We start from the raw sequence: 17,170 nt of genomic DNA, 5'->3' as shown, positions 1-17,170 counted from the left end.
TGTGGACGTACCTCTACCTGTGTCTCAGGGGAAACAAATTCTATTTTATCCCAGTATAGTTCTGTATTACACAAATGTAACATTCGGCTACTAGATATTGAGTGCCTTATCCTCCATGCAAATACAGCAGAGGATACCCTAAAAGAGATACTGAAGCTTTTGATTTTTCTTTCTCCCTGGGATGATGGGATCCATAAGTTGGGTCCCCCAGCCCACAAGACAGGTGCAAGGAAGGGTGGTTGGAAGATTGTGAGTTATGACAGGGAACATTATTTCTTAGGTTCCTTGGGTATATAAAGCTCCGGACTATCTGTCTATCATGGATAAAGAGTGAACATGGTCCCCTCTCCACAAATGTGTTTTTCTCCTCGATTATCACTGTAAAGGGCTGAAGTTACACCAAGTTCTGATACATTACTTTTTCGTGTTATTTTTGAGACAGGATCACAGTCTGTCGCCCAGGCTGGAGTGCAGTGATGCAATTACAGCTCACTGCAGCCTCGATCTCCCAGGCTTAAGGGATTCACCCACTTCAGCTTCCGATCTAGCTGGGACTACAGGCACACGCCACCGCACCCAGCTAGTTTTTGTATTTTTTTGTAGAGACGGCATCCACTATGTTGCCCAGGCTGGTCTCGATCTCCTGGCCTCAGGCAATCCTCCTGCCTCAGCCTCCCAAAGTGCTGGGATGACAAGTGTGAGCCACCTCGCCAGGCCTTCACTTTCTTTAATGAACAATTATCAGAGTTTCATCTTAGAGGCAAAAGTGGCTACTGCCAGCCAATCTGTCTGTGGTGTTGGAGGGGAATCTGGCTGATTCAGACGTTTCAGATGAACTTTTAAATTAACCTACATGATGATTATCCTAAGGCCGTTTCCTCCTCCGTGTTTTTCTGATTCAGGGTTTGGAGTTTTTCAGAGGCTTTGTTACAAAGAGCATCTCCTGGTCGGGCACAGTGACTCACGCTGTAGTGCCAGCACTTTGGGAGGCCGAGGCAGGCAGATCACTTGATGTCAGGAGTTTGAGACCAGCCTGGCCAACAGGGTGAAACCCCCGTCTCTACTAAAAATACAAAAATTAGCCAGCCGTGGTGGCGGGCTCCTGTGAATTCCAGTTACTGCAGGGGCTGAGGCAGGAGAATCCCTTGAACCTGGGAGACGGAGGGTGCAGTGAGCTGAGATCACGCCACTGCACTCCAGCCTGGGCGACAGAGTAAGTCTCTGTCTCAAAAAACAAACAAACAGCATCTCTCGCCTACAGTGATTTGAGCTGTGGTCTTGTCTCCTTGGGTTTCTCTATCAGTCTGACCCCATCTACTCTATCTCCCAGGAATGCCTCAATATTTCTGGTGGACCGCTGACACGCTTTCCTATTTTCCTCTACTGTTACGAATTGACCCTTGAAAATATTTTCTTCCCAGTTCGATGGAATGTTGAGTAGGGCACGGGATCTATCTGCCATCTTGCTCCAATCATCTGGTTTTAGATATTGTATGTACTTTTGTCACTATATACGTGTAATTTTTCTCAATTTGGTTTTCTAAATGGTTATTATTGGTATGTAGAAAACCTATCTATTACTGTATATAATATTTTGTTACCTGTCTGGGTGCAGCCTCCCCTGCATTTTGGCACAAGACTCAATCAGTTTTATTCTCCAAAAGAAAACTGACAGGCTGGGTGCGGTGGCTCACGCCTGTAATTCCGCACTTTGGGAGACTGAGGAGGGTGGAACACCTGAGGTCAGGAGTTTGAGACCAGCCTGGCCAAGATGGTGAAACCCCATCTCTACTAAAAATACAAAAAATAATTTAGCCATGCGTTGTTGGCGCACGCCTGTAGTCCTAGCTACTAGGGCAGCTGAGGCAGGAGGATCACTTGAACTCAGGAGGTGGAGATTGCAGTGAGCCGAGATCACCCCACTGCACTCCAGCCTGGGCGACAGCAATTCTAACTCTAAAAAATAAAAAAAAAGAAAAGAAAAAGGAAAAAAGAAAATTCACATCACAGGCAATAGATAGCTATAAAAGGATACTTTATGAAAGATTTCACAGGAGAGACTGATGGAAAGAAAGAAGTATATATCTTACAGAGCTAAGCAGTTCACTGCAAAAATCAACAGAACTGCCTTTTTCTCCAAAAATAGTACCCCTAAGCTATATTACTACTGGTTCTTCTAGTCCTTCCCCCTATCCCAAATCCTCAAATTGTCCATTTCCTTATTGGGATAATTTTCCTCTGCCCAGATCTGGGTCCTCCACAACACTTAACCCTGTCTTCGGGTGTTTGCATGCCCATTGTTTTAGCTCAGGTTCCCAAGGAAACAGGCTTTGGGCCATACAGGAAACATCTAGGCAGACTATACTGAGAAACCATGCCTGGAACGGTGCAGGGGGAGAGGAGAGGAGAGGCAATTTATGTAACTGACTCTCACTCCTGGTTCCTTTTCTTATTGGTCAAAATTTACCCCACAGGCATGAACTCCCCCACACTTCTAGATTGCATCATCTGCCCCTTTGACAGCTGTCTGGGAAGCCAGATCCCACACTTTGAAGCATAGTGTTTCATACAATCCCAAAGTGGTACCAGAGGCCAGGCATGGTGCCTTACTCTGTAATTCAATGCCATCCCCATCAAGCTACCAATGACTTTCCTCACAGAATTGGAAAAAACTACTTTAAAGTTCATATGGAACCAAAAAAGAGCCCACATTGCCAAGTCAATCCTAAGCCAAAAGAACAAAGCCGGAGGCATCACGCTACCTGACTTCAAACTATACTACAAGGCTACAGTAACCAAAACAGCTTGTTACTGGTACCAAAACAGAGATATAGATCAAAGGAACAGAACAGAGCCCTCAGAAATAATGCCACATATCTACAACCATCTGATCTTTGACAAACCTGACAAAAACAAGCAATGGGGAAAGGATTCCCTATTTAATAAATGGTGCTGGGAAAACTGGCTAGCCATATGTAGAAAGCTGAAACTGGATCCCTTCCTTACACCTTATACAAAAATTAATTCAAGATGGATTAAAGACTTCAACATTAGACCTAAAACCATAAAAACCCTAGAAGAAAACTTAGGCAATACCATTCAGGACATAGGCATGGGCAAGGACTTCATGACTAAAACACCAAAAGCAATGGCAACAAAAGCCAAAATTGACAAATGAGATCTAATTAAACTAAGGAGCTTCTGCACAGCAAAGGAAACTACCATCAGAGTGAACAGGCAGCCTACAAAATGGGAGAAAATTTTCACAACCTACTCATCTGACAAAGGGCTAATATCCAGAATCTACAATGAACTCAAACAAATTTACAAGAAAAAAACAAACAACCCCATCAAAAAGTGGGCGAAAGATATGAACAGACACTTCTCAAAAGAAGACATTTATGCAGCCAAAAGACACATGAAAAAATGCTCACCATCACTGGCCATCAGAGAAATGCAAATCAAAACCACCACGAGATACCATCTCACACCAGTTAGAATGGCAATCATTAAAATGTCAGGAAACAACAAGTACTGGAGAGGATGTGGAGAAATAGGAACACTTTTACACTGTTGGTGGGACTGTAAACTAGTTCAACCATTGTGGAAGTCAGTGTGGCAATTCCTCAGGGATCTAGAACTAGAAATACCATTTGACCCTGCCATCCCATTACTGGGTATATACCCAAAGGATTATAAATCATGCTGCTATAAAGACACATGCACACATATGTTTATTGCGGCACTATTCACAATAGCAAAGACTTGGAACCAACCCAAATGTCCAACAATGATAGACTGGATTAAGAAAATGTGGCACATAGACACCATGGAATACTATGTAGCCATAAAAAATGATGAGCTCATGTCCTTTGTAGGGACATGGATGACACTGGAAACCATCATTCTCAGCAAACTATTGCAAGGACAAAAAACCAAACACCGCATGTTCTCACTCATAGGTGGGACTTGAACAATGAGAACACATGGACACAGGAAGGGGAACATCACACTCCGGGGCCTGTTGTGGGGTGCGGGGACGGGGGAGGGGGGAGGGGGAGGGAAAGCATTAGGAGATATACCTAATGCTAAATGACAAGTTAATGGGTGCAGAACACCAACATGGAACATGTATACATATGTAACAAATCTGCACATTGTGCACATGTACCCTAAAACTTAAAGTATAGTAATAAAAAAATTAAAAAAATTAAGAAAAGGTTTTCAAGGGTCAATTCGTAACAGTAGAGGAAAATAGGAAAGCGTGTCAGCGGTCCACCAGAAATATTGAGGCATTCCTGGGAGATAGAGTAGATGGGGTCAGACTGATAGAGAAACCCAAGGAGACAAGACCACAGCTCAAATCACTGTAGGCGAGAGATGCTGTTTGTTTGTTTTTTGAGACAGAGACTTACTCTGTCGCCCAGGCTGGAGTGCAGTGGCGTGATCTCAGCTCACTGCACCCTCCGTCTCCCAGGTTCAAGGGATTCTCCTGCCTCAGCCCCTGCAGTAACTGGAATTCACAGGAGCCCGCCACCACGGCTGGCTAATTTTTGTATTTTTAGTAGAGACGGGGGTTTCACCCTGTTGGCCAGGCTGGTCTCAAACTCCTGACATCAAGTGATCTGCCTGCCTCGGCCTCCCAAAGTGCTGGCACTACAGCGTGAGTCACTGTGCCCGACCAGGAGATGCTCTTTGTAACAAAGCCTCTGAAAAACTCCAAACCCTGAATCAGAAAAACACGGAGGAGGAAACGGCCTTAGGATAATCATCATGTAGGTTAATTTAAAAGTTCATCTGAAACGTCTGAATCAGCCAGATTCCCCTCCAACACCACAGACAGATTGGCTGGCAGTAGCCACTTTTGCCTCTAAGATGAAACTCTGATAATTGTTCATTAAAGAAAGTGAAGGCCTGGCGAGGTGGCTCACACTTGTCATCCCAGCACTTTGGGAGGCTGAGGCAGGAGGATTGCCTGAGGCCAGGAGATCGAGACCAGCCTGGGCAACATAGTGGATGCCGTCTCTACAAAAAAATACAAAAACTAGCTGGGTGCGGTGGCGTGTGCCTGTAGTCCCAGCTAGATCGGAAGCTGAAGTGGGTGAATCCCTTAAGCCTGGGAGATCGAGGCTGCAGTGAGCTGTAATTGCATCACTGCACTCCAGCCTGGGCGACAGACTGTGATCCTGTCTCAAAAATAACACGAAAAAGTAATGTATCAGAACTTGGTGTAACTTCAGCCCTTTACAGTGATAATCGAGGAGAAAAACACATTTGTGGAGAGGGGACCATGTTCACTCTTTATCCATGATAGACAGATAGTCCGGAGCTTTATATACCCAAGGAACCTAAGAAATAATGTTCCCTGTCATAACTCACAATCTTCCAACCACCCTTCCTTGCACCTGTCTTGTGGGCTGGGGGACCCAACTTATGGATCCCATCATCCCAGGGAGAAAGAAAAATCAAAAGCTTCAGTATCTCTTTTAGGGTATCCTCTGCTGTATTTGCATGGAGGATAAGGCACTCAATATCTAGTAGCCGAATGTTACATTTGTGTAATACAGAACTATACTGGGATAAAATAGAATTTGTTTCCCCTGAGACACAGGTAGAGGTACGTCCACACTGACCTGGGTGGCAGCCACCTCTTCCTGCAGTGCCAGGCAGGGCATGCTCACAGATCTGGGGAACCTCTACTGCTCCTGGAGCCCCACAACCTCCTTCCAGGCACCCTCTCCCTCTGGTGGCTGTGGCAGCCCCCACTTGGCCTTGGGTCTCCCCTGCTTCTTTGCCTGCCCCTCTTCTGCCCACCCTGCATATCTCTGTCTCCCACTGTCCCTGCTGTGATCACGACTGCCTCTCCCTCCCCGCACTCTCTCTCTCCTAGGGCTCCTTGTCTTGGAAAACGAACCCACAGCCTCTACCTTGTGACTGGGGACAGAGCCCGGGGCTTGTTCAATTCCCCCTCCCTCCACCACACACACCTGTCCTCCTTAATGTTTCTGAAGTCAGTGAGCTCCAAACTCAGCCCCTCCTGCACCTGCCAGCTGTGGGACCTCAGACAAGACGCCTGCCATCTGGCTGGGACTCCGTCTCTCATCTAACATATAGGCATAAAGATGATAGTGTCCTCCTTCCAAGGCTGGGGAGAACCGGGAGGACTTGATGTCTCCATTCACACACAATGGTTGGTTCGAAAATAGACTCCCATCTGCGCTCCCCTTCCGCAGACCTGTTTCCCCTCCACACTGTGCAATGGTACATGTGAGAAAGAACTGGCCCCTTCCGAAATCATCGTCCCCACCCCAGCCCCCAGGCCCTTGGTTGGTGAGACCCTTGATGGGCAGTCTCATGCTTCTGTCCAGGGGACTTTCCCACCGTTGCTCCCCTGCATGGAGACTGAGTGGACTCTTCTATTCCCTGTCCATCACGGTCTACAGTGCACGCATCTTCCTCATTCCTCCACGTTCCCCAGATGACGATTTCATCTGTGTCTCCTTCCACATACTCCCAAATGGACCGTCCCAGCCCTTGAACTTGAAAATCATTCAGAGAGCAAAGGCCCAGATGCCCAACCACCTGCTGCAGAATCCTGCTCCAGGACTGAAGTGTATAGTCTCTATCAAAATAAAAACTGGAGGCCAGGCGCAGTGGCCCACTCCTGTAATCCCAGCACTTTAGGAGGCCAAGGTGGGAGGATTGCTTGGGCCCAGGAGTTGGAGACCAGCCTGGGTAATATAGCGAGACTTTCTTGACAAAACCTAAAAAAATCAGTGGGTCATGATGGTGCGTGGCTGTAGTCACAGCTTCTCTGGAGGCTGAGGTGGGAGGATCCCTTGAGCCCACAAGTTCAGGGCTGCATTAAGCTATGATCGTGCCACTGCACTCTAGCCTGGACAGAGCAAGACCCCATCTCTAGAAGAAACAAACAAACAAACAATACCAACGACTGGAAATATCTTCCTCTAGAATGGTGGTCAGGAACATCTGTCTGCCTTGTTCCCTGATGTCTCTCCAGCACCTCGAACAGTTCTCAGCACTAGTACACACTCATTAGTTTTTTGTTGAATAAATGACTCCTTTGACACATCAATTCCACTTCTAAGAATCTTTCCTAAAGAAATATTCACACACGTGCACAGAGCTGTGTGCACAATAATGAGAGATGCAAACAACTGGGGAACGTTTGCAAAGGTTTATTAACTGTCAGTGACTGATACAACGGAATCGGATGAGGGGAGTACATGCTGAACAGGAAACAGAGTGAGGGGGGCTTGACCAGGTCGCATGGCAATGGAGAAAAGCAGATGGGAGATGCTTATACTGGTACTTGGTGTGTGTGTGTGCGTGTGTGGTGTGTGTGTAAATGCAGAGGAAAAAATCGGAAATTAAACACTCAGACCTCCCCTCAGTAGTCACATCTGGGGAGAGAGGAGGGTAGTGCTGTTCTATGGAGAGAATACCTGACAATACTTGTTTTCTGAGGTAGGTGCATGGATACACAAGCCGAAATATGCATTAAGCATGTCTTGCTCATCAACGAAAACGCTAATGTCTAACAGAATGGCACACTGCAAGAAAATACAGCGGAAACGCCAACATCGAACTCTTGGCACACTAAGAAAAATGACGCTCAACTTTTCACTGTTGTGAACACTTGCTTTCACTTGCTATGCACCTGATGACGAGGGGTCCGCAGCCATGCCCATGTTCGTGAAAGGTCACCACGTTCTGCTTCTCATCATGGGCATGTGTCATATCCCCGAGGCTGAGGCAAGAAGAGAGAAGGAAAGTAAGTGGCAGTGAGTTCCCACCACGTGACAACTCAATCTCAACTCCTCCTGACCTGCAGACCCTGCACACTGTGATTCTGCCCTACCTCAGGACCTGCACACGCCTTCCACGGTTCCTCGAAGTGAACCATCTGTTCATGCCACAGTGACTTCTTCGCCTGGGTTTTCAATTCCTAGGCTAGAGGAAGGTGTGGCCCGCATATCAGGGCTGACCTGGGGTTTGGGAACCCACAGCATCCTGGGTAGGGAGCAACCTTGGATATACAGGGCAGGGAGTAGAAAGAGTATGGGAAATTGGCCGGGCATGGTGGCTCATGCCTGTAAACCCAGCACTTTGGGAGGCCGAGGCAGGTGGATCACGAGGTCAGGAGTTCAAGTCCAGCCTGACCAACATGGTGAAACCCCGTCTCTACTAAAAATGCAAAAATTACCCTGGTGTGGTGGTGTGCACCTGTAATCCCAGCTACTCAGGAGGCTGAGGCAGGAGAATTGCTTGAACCTGAGAGGCACAAGTTGCAGTGAGCCAAGATCGCGCCACTACACTCCCGCGTGGGCGACAGAGCAAGACTCCCTCTCAAAAAGGAAAAAAAATAGAAAGAAAGAGCATGGGAAATCTCATCATTCAGCCTCAATGCTGTACCCTAGAAAATTATGAGAAGGGAATGATTTGGGGAACAAGTGATAAGATGGGATACCAGTACCATAACAGAATAGTACATCTGCAAGGATGTGGAGGGTGGTCCGAAAGTTCACTTACGGAGTTACTCGTCATCTTCCTCAGGGTCGCTGATCTCTTCATAAACCACCAGCTGCTTTCTCTCACGCAGTCTGTGGGTCCAGGCATGTTTCCCCCTTTTGGGTCCTATGATGGGGAAGAGTTGGAAAATGAGGGTTGGGTAGATTGGAGAGCGTTAGGCTCTGTTTTCTCAAAAGAAGGAGATGCCTCTCCCCTCCCAAGTGCCCCGGACCTTCTTTATCCAGTTTTTCACATTCCCTGGTTTAGAGAGGCTGAGACCTTAGATCCACACCAATACAGGCCAAATGCAAATTAAAATTTTAGCTTCTGGCTCCTTCCGTTGTCAGGTTAAATTCCCAACCTCTTCACTTACGGGAACATTCACCGATACCTCCTTTCATTCAGCATGTATTTGTTAAGGGCACACAGGCATACCTTGTATTATTGTACCTCATTTTTATAGTGCTTCACAGATACTGCAATTTTTTGGGGGGAATTCTCACCAATTTTATACTTTTCCGTTATTAGTATATCTGTTATAGTGATCTGTCATTAGTGAGCTTTGACATTATTATTGCAATTGTTTTGTTGCTCTTTAGTCTTTTAAAATAATTTTTGTTTTTTATGTTAGTGGGTACACAGTAGGTGTATATACTTATGGGGTACGCGAGACGTTTTGATACACGCATGCAATGCGTAATAATCACATCATGGAAAATAGGGTATCCATCCCCTCAAACATTTATCCTTGTGTTACAAACAATTCATTTACACTCTTTTAGTTTTTTTAAATGTACGATTAAGTTATTATTGACTATAATCATCCTGTTGTATGTAATTGTTTTTGGGGTACCATGAACTGCACCCATAGAAGATGACAAACTTAATCGATTAATGTTGTGTGTGTTCTGACTGCTCCACCGATGAGCTCTTCCCCATCTCTCCTCCTTTTCTTGGGCCTCCCTATTTCCTGAGACACAGCAACACTGAAATTAGGACGATTAAGAACCCTACAATGGCCGCTAAGTGTTCAAATGAAAGGAAGAGTCGCATGTCTCTCACTTTAAATCAGAAGCTAGAAATGGCTAAGCTTAGTGAGGAAGCATGCTGAAAGCCAAGATAGGCTGAAAGCTCGGCCTCTTCCACCAAACAGCCAAGCTGTGAATGCAAAGGAAAAGTTCATGAAGGAAATAATAGTACATAATGCAAAGGAAAAGTTCTTGAAGGAAATAATAATACTAATACTCCAGTGAACACACGAATAAGAAAGCAAAACTGCCTTACTGCTCAAATAGAGAAAGTTTGAGTGGTCAGGATAAAACGTGAAACCAGCCACAACATTCCCTTAAGCCAAAGTCTAATTCAGAGCAAGACCAGAACTCTCTTCAAGTCCATGAATGCTGAGAGAGCTGAAGAAGCTGCAGGAGAAACGTGTGAAGCTAGTAGAGGTTGGTTCGTGAGGTTTAAGGAAAGAAGCCGTCTCTATAACATAAAAGTGCAAGGCGAAGCAGCAAACCCTGATGGAGAAGCTGCAGCAAGTTATCCAGAAGATCTGGCTAAGGTCACTGACGAAGGTGGCTACACGAAACAACAGATTTTCAATGTAGATAAAATAGCCTTCTATTGGAAGGAGATGCCATCTAGGACTTTCATAGCTAGAGAGGATTGACTCCAACTTTGAAAGAAGTTCTACTGTGGGTAAAATGCTATCCAATAGCATCACATACTACAGAGAAATCCTTCATGAAAGGGAGAGCTAATTGATGTGGCAAATTTCATTGTTGTCATCTTTTAAGAAACTGCCACAGCCACTCCAATCTTCAGCAACCACCACCTTGATCAGCCAGCAGCCATCAACACCGAGGCAAGACCCTCCACCAGCAAAAAGAGTGTGACTCACTGAAGGCTCAGAAGATTGTTAGCATTTTTTATCGATGAATTATTTTAAAATAAAGGTATGTGCATTTTCAGACTTAATGCTATTGCACACTTAGTAGACTGCAGTATAATGTAAATGTAATGTTTTTATGCACTGCAAGACAAAAAAAAAATGTGTGTGACTCACTTTATTGCAGTGGTCTGGAACCGAACCTGCAATATCTCTGAAGCACACCTGTATTGGGTAACAGGCATTGAGCTGAGTAAGATATGATCCCAGGTTATCACAGATAGAATTGCTTGAGCACCTTTCATGTCATCAGGCCTTCTAGATTACATTTAATGTCTCCAAACAATTTATGAACTATGATTCTTTATTTCCATCTTATGGACTAGGAACCTGGAGCTGAGGAAATTTGGAAGACTTTCCCCACGTCACGTGGTTTTTTTTATATGGATGACAACTCCAGTCTGTGTCTCTGGAAGTCATGTCTAACATCTCATCTGGAGCTAGGCGAGCTCCTCAGCCCAGCCTGGACCCTGGCTTGTCTGGGGTCCATGCCACACACCCAGTCCACGCACCTGAACACAGCCAGGGAAGCCAGAGGGGTTGTTCCCGAATTCTTTCCTCTTACCAGATGTCTTGTTAATCTTCTCCAAGGTACTTGGATTTCCCGGGGGGCACAGCTGTTTCCCATCATTTTGTGGGCCAGATGCCTCTGGCACTTCCTTCAAACCATTTTCTTCCTCTGCTGGCTTCTTGGGCATGATCTTTACAATGTGAAGGTCGCAGATAAACAGTATCAGTGACATTTCTACAGTGCTTTAGAGCTTACAAAGGGTCTTCACGTGCATTAGCTTATTCAATGCTCTCAACAAGACTGGGAGAGTTACACAGGCCTAAATTAGGAGAAACCTGGGAGGTTAGAAGGGAAAGGAATGGCCTAAACGAATGGGCTTTCCAGGGCTAGAATGCTTATCTTCACACTCTTTTAAGACTCACATTCTTGCAAACAGCAAAAATCTCCATTTAATTGAGAGTTTGGTATACAGAAGATTTGGAGAATAGCATTCTAAGAATTCACAAGGTCTAGAAAAGAAAGAGCTTCTATAAAATACAAGGGATCCCATATAAGCTTGTAGACAGCTGCTGGGAGAGTAAATGTAAAAACATAGAGAGGCGATAAAACACTGCTGGGAAAGATGGTGTGGGGAGATGAATACAGGGACAGGAGAGGTAAAGAAATGGTTTGCTGAAATTAAACTAGGCAGCAAAGAAAGCAGTACCAGACATGGCATACTACCCTACCGAGGCGCCAACATTGAATGTGGAATTAAGTGAGGTGGTACCCATACCAACTCTGGTTGCATTGGGATGTGTCACTGACCAACGACCTTAAGCTACTTCTTTTTCCTTTTTTTTTTTTTTTTTTGACACGGAGTCTTGCTCTGTTGCCAGGCTTGAGTGCAGTGGCGCGATCTCAGCTCACTGTAACCTCCATCTCCCAGGTTCAACCATTCTCCTGCCTCAGCCTCCAGAGTAGCTGGGACTACAGGTAGGCTCTAACACGCACCGTTAAGTTTTCTATTTTTAGTAGAGACAAAGTTTCACCATGTTGGGCAGGATGGTCTCCATCTCTTCACCTCGTGATCCACCCACCTCAGCCTCCCAAAGTGCTGGGATTACAGTCGTGAGACACTGCGCCCAGCCCTTAAGCTACTTTTTATTCAGCTTCCTCACTTACGAAATAGTCAACAGTACATGTAAAATAGGCTACAAGAAAGTGCTCTCTGAGCTTGTAAACACTCTTTAAATGTAGTAATAATAAAAAACTAATACTTTTCATGATCCTTCTTTGAATTTGGTCTCCACACTGGCAACCCAACTCCCAGATCCCTTTACCCTCCAAACCAGAGTTGGATCTGCAGTTGTGGGATCACTCATTCAGGGGCCTTCGAGGGATCCCCTGGGCTGGGACGGGGGCTTCCCGGATGCCCCAGGTGCACACAAGGCCATCAAGGAGCTCACAGTAGGGAGGGGCCAACAGTCAAAGCGATTCCTAAGCCATGTGAGTGGCCCCGGTAACAGAGCAGAGGCCAGCTGGTCCTTCCTGTTGCGAGAGTGGGTGTCTCAATGGAAGCACCAGGAGGCCCTATGGGGTGAAGCCCTAGTGAGCAACATCTGAACTTCATAAACAAATGCAAACGTGAATGAGCTTTAAATGGCTTGGAGCTCTGGATTAGACTACCACTGCCACTGTGCCTCAGGAAAATTCTTTAACATCTCTGTACCCCGATAGCCTCATTTTATTATTATGTTGCTGATAACTACGATCTAAAACATGAACTATGATTCTTTACTTCCATTTCATGGACCAGGAGTCTGGATCTCAGAGAACTTAGAAGATTTGCACCAAGTTACATGTCTTTTATATGGGTGACAATTGAAGTGTGTGGCTCGATAGTATTTGGAGATAGTAATAGAAACATCGTCATAGAGGTCTTCTTAAGGATTAAATAAATTAACCCATGTGAACTGCTTAAAATAGTAATCTGGCATCACTATGAAAACCAAAGAAGTATTAAGGATCACAACTGTTAATATTAGCAAGCCGTCGGTGCCACATAAGTTGTTGTGATAGACATGGGGAGAAGGAGGCAGTGAGGGCATGTTTGATATTCTCCCACTCTTATCAGTGTTCGCATCCGTGCAGGGACAAACGTTCTCTGGTCCTTTAGATTTGAGAGACACTCACCTTCGGGAAGATTCTCTGGAGGCTGCCGAAAGTCATCTGAGGACGTTCAACTGAAAGAGAATACATCAGAATTTTTCTTTGTTGGTAAAGATTTCCAAACTCTAGAGAGACTTCTGTCGCATGAGGGCATTCTGCAGCAGAGGTTGTGAGTCCACTCATTGTTGAGGAGTTATTTGAGATTTGCTTCTGAATTATGTTTAGTCATGGTTGGTGCATTTATCTGTGGCATCAATTCAGAATTTTCCATCTCGTGGTTTATCACATGGGTATTAAACCCCATCACAGTCTCATCTTTTTCCATTACATATCTTTTACTTTTTCCCAAATAGTTAAATTGATTGGTTGGGAATCTAAACTGTAATCACTCAAGATGTGCAACAACTAAAAATCACTGTACACTTCAAATGGGTGAATCTTATGGTATGTCAATTAAGCTGTTAACTGTGTGATGAACCATCGATGATTTAGTCCAGTGGCTCTGAAATATTTTCAGTATAAATATTTGGCACTCATTTAATGTCAAAAACTTGGCAGATACTCAAGCACTGGATTTTCAGACCTCTTATAGTGACTGTGGGAGATCGTAGAATCTGGCCTGTTTAGTTGGGAAGTAATAGGTCTATGGGAGACAGTCTGGACATTCTGACCTTGTCTTGTAACTGTGTTCTCAGAGCAGAAGAGCAAGTAAACACATATGTCCCCTTTATATTCCTGAAATGCACAAAGATCTCTACGCGAAACTTGTCTTTTTTTCACCCTATGTTATCTCTGCTCACTGAGAAGTGGGAAAGCTCTCTGTGTGCTGGATGAGGGATCACTCTTTCAAACTCTCTTCCAAGCTCATCACGGAGAATTGGGGTTGTTGGGGAATGTGAGGACTATTTGGTTTTGATAAAATACAGAGAAACAGCGACGCTTATTACATAATGTGTTCATCACCCTCACTCCTAAGATACTTATCCAATACCTACATGCTGTTAATGAAACAAACTCTGGAAGTTTTTGGCGGATCTACAGTTTTAACATTTTCTTTTTTTTTATTTTTTCACTTTTCACATTTTCTTAAATGTCCTTTGATTCATTAACAGTGCTTAGGAAGAACAACATGTCATTTAAAAAAGAAATATTTCAAAAACACAGAAAAGTATGGGGAACAAAACTGAGTACAGTCGGGTCTCAACATTACCCCACAGTTATCTTAGATCTGATTTATTTATTCAGAATATTAGCAATAGTATAAACAGTCCAGGAGTGGTAGCTCACGCCTGTAATCCCAGCATTTTGGGAGGCTGAGGCGAGTGGATCACCTGAGGTCAGGTAGTTTGAGGCCAGACTGGCCAACATGGTGAAACCCCGTCTCTACCAAAAATACAAAAATTACCTGGGTGTGGAGGCGAGCGCCTGTAATCCCAGCTACTCGGGAGGCTGAGGCAGGAGAATCGCTTGAACCTGGGAGGTGCAAGTTGCAGTGAGCTCAGATTTTGCTATTGCACTCCAGGCTGGGTGACAAGAGTGAAATTCTGTCTCAAAAAAAAATAACAATAACAAAAAACACAAAACACACTATCAGCAAGTCACAGCTGAAGCTGTCTGTGCCGCACTCAGCAATCCCTGCCCTCCCTCCCTCCTCCACTTACAGCCAGTCACCTTAATTTGATGGCGTTTTATTCACATTCATGTTTGTATACATTTACCATTTACTTATTATCCATAAAAATATATTTTCTTGTTTTGCATGTTTTAGAATTTTATGTGATTGGCCTCTGTAGTTAACTTTCTGCATGCAATTTTTTTTTTTCACTCAGCCCCGATGTGTATGAGGGAACAAATGCCTGAGGATCTTTCCCAGGTAGCTGAGCTGAAAAGCAACTGGGCTTGAGGAGACCCTTTCCAGCCCCTTCCAGTCTACTCACCCTGATTCCTGTGGTTTCGATCGTTACCAAAATCATTCCCGTGGAAGTCTGCAGCCCGTTTACTACGCATGAAAGGTGGGAGGGTGACCTTGAAACCTAGAAAGGAGCAAAATGTTTATTTCTTAAGAGGCAAGCTTGGGCCTGGCACGGTGGCTCATGTCTGTAGTACCAGCCCTTTGGGAGGCTGAGGCTGGAGGATTGCTTGAGGTGAGGCGCTCAACACTAGCCTGGGCAACATAGAGAGACCCACATATCTACAAAATATAAAATAAAATTAGTTGGGCATAGTGGCACGTGCCTGTAGCCTCAGCTACTCCATAGGCTGGGCAGGAGGATTGCTAGAGCCCAGGAGTTCGAGGCTGCAGTGAGCTATGCTTGCACTACTGCACTCTTCCCTAGGTGACAGAGTGAGACTCTGACTTAAAAAAAAAAAAAGAGAGAGAGAGAGAGAGAGACAAGCCAAGAGAAGGAAGGGAGGGTGTGCGTGTTGGGTGTGGGGGTGCCGGGATGCCACAGAGACAGTTGGGCTCATCAGAAAAGACGCCTATGGGAGAGAAACGTGCAGGATCCAGGTATGAGCTCCACTGTGGCCAGTCCCTGCCCTCAGCCCTGACAGGATACAGAAGAGGAGAACACCCAGAAGCTGCCTTGTGATTTTTCCCTGCACAAAAGGAAAATGTGGGGTACTTTCTGCAGCCTAAGAAGTAGCCAAAACAGGAAAAGGGATGCTCATGTGTCCCCAGACTTGTCTGCTTCTAGAACTTTCTGTTACCTAGTTTAGTCATGACCTCATAGTTTAGCTTCATATACACATAGACGATTTTCTCCGAGGATTTCATCTTTTCCCACTCTTTCTTAGAGAAGTATTTGGCAATATCATCGAAGGCCTGGAAAAAAAAAAAAAAGGAATTATGGCAGGGACTCAGCTAGGCATGTCTGCCATTCAGCTGGAGCCGCTTCCTGTGTGTGGGATCTGAGAAGTGGGGATGATAGTCTGTCCTGGTTGATGCCATGGCTAACTGACAGAACATGAGGGAACTTCCCTAGCTTCGCCCCTGCCACACAGTAGGGCTTTAATGCTGCTGGCTGGCTCTCTTCCCACCTTCCAGAATGGAGTGGGAGTCACCAAATGAAGTGCAAGGTCAGAGACTTGTCTCCAGGGATGCTAGGTGATGACAGAGCGAGGGTGGGAGGCTCCCAAGGGTCCAAATCTCCCCCGAGACCCTGCTCCTTGTCCCTAGTACCTCTGTCCTCCCCTCCTCAGAAACCTGGTCACCCCACACTGTCCCCTGGGCCACTACTCTGCCCCCTCCAGGTCACCTCACCTTTCGTAACTTCTCTGATATTTGAGCATCATCCCTGGGTCTCCTTGCAAAGGCGTCGTCTCCGTTCATGGCACTGGGAGCAGTCTCACCTGCGAGAGAAACAGCCTGAGTCTTTCCAGCCTCAGGACCTTTGGTGCTCTGGGCGGGGTGGTGCACGCCTGTAGTCCCGGGGCCGAGGCGAGAGGATCGCTTGAGCCCAGGAGTTTTTTTTTTTTTTTTTTTTTGAGACAGGGTCTCGCTCTGTTGCCCAGGCTGTGTTGCAGTGGCGCGATCGTGGCTCACTGCAACCTCCGCCTCCCGGGTTCAAGCGATCCACCACCTGTGGGCCTCCAAAGTGCTGGGATTACAAGCGTGAGCCACCACGCCCAGCCCAGATTTTTTAAGTTACTACAGAGCTCCTAGGAAAAATCCCATACCTGAAAAAGTTAGAAACTGACAGGAAGAATTTGAGATGGCGACCTGCCTCACATAAATACATTATTAAAATTAGATAAGAAGTGCACCACGGCGGAGGGGAGGGGTAGGAAGAATGGAAAGAGAAAATCAGCGCATGCTTACCCTGATTGTGGAAGAATCAAAAGGGCAAATCGGCGTGTGCGTACTCTGAATTTAAAGTAGCCAATCCAAGGGGACGCTTTCGGCGGGAAAATCAGAGTCTCCCCTCCCCCCCGCCTTGGGAAGGTTCTGTCCCTAGAGCCTGGACTGACAGACGCCACATCAGCTTCGCTTGTTCCGCCTACTGTTCTGACTTCTAATTGGCCAGATG

At 45.6% G+C, this 17,170-nt stretch overlaps 1 protein-coding gene across 3 annotated transcripts; it reads right to left on the bottom strand.

Annotated features, from left to right (window-relative positions):
• Positions 1–7,179: 7,179 nt before the first annotated feature.
• SSX4 (SSX family member 4) lies at positions 7,180–16,988 on the bottom strand. 3 transcript variants are annotated; one of them, NM_005636.4, is made up of 8 exons: positions 16,963–16,988; positions 16,405–16,493; positions 15,852–15,966; positions 15,080–15,175; positions 13,167–13,216; positions 11,046–11,181; positions 8,554–8,658; positions 7,180–7,771 (listed from the first exon to the last, which is right to left on the bottom strand). In NM_005636.4, the coding sequence occupies exons 2-7, from the start codon at positions 16,471–16,473 to the stop codon at positions 8,558–8,560; spliced, it is 567 nt and encodes a 188-aa protein (NP_005627.1). In that variant the 5' UTR covers positions 16,474–16,493; positions 16,963–16,988; the 3' UTR covers positions 7,180–7,771; positions 8,554–8,557. The 3 variants fall into 3 exon arrangements, with proteins under 3 accessions (NP_005627.1, NP_783856.1, XP_016885248.1); NM_175729.2 differs by lacking the exon at positions 11,046–11,181; XM_017029759.2 differs by lacking the exon at positions 7,180–7,771 and having other exon boundaries at positions 8,558–8,658; positions 16,821–16,988.
• Between the last annotated feature and the right edge of the window lie 182 nt (positions 16,989–17,170).

This window comes from Homo sapiens, chromosome X (genome assembly GCF_000001405.40).
Source record: "Homo sapiens chromosome X, GRCh38.p14 Primary Assembly".
Lineage (NCBI taxonomy): Eukaryota > Metazoa > Chordata > Mammalia > Primates > Hominidae > Homo > Homo sapiens.
This window is presented reverse-complemented; position numbering and strand designations above follow the sequence as displayed.

Coding starts and splice junctions, on each gene's coding strand:
- SSX4 (NM_005636.4), bottom strand. CDS start 16,473: ATGAACGGAGACGACGCCTTTGCAAGGAGACCCAGGGATGATGCTCAA. Junction 15,176..15,851: donor TGAGGTCATGACTAAACTAG/GTAACAGAAAGT, acceptor GCTCCTTTCTAG/GTTTCAAGGTCACCCTCCCA. Junction 13,217..15,079: donor TCGAAACCACAGGAATCAGG/GTGAGTAGACTG, acceptor ATTCTCTTTCAG/TTGAACGTCCTCAGATGACT.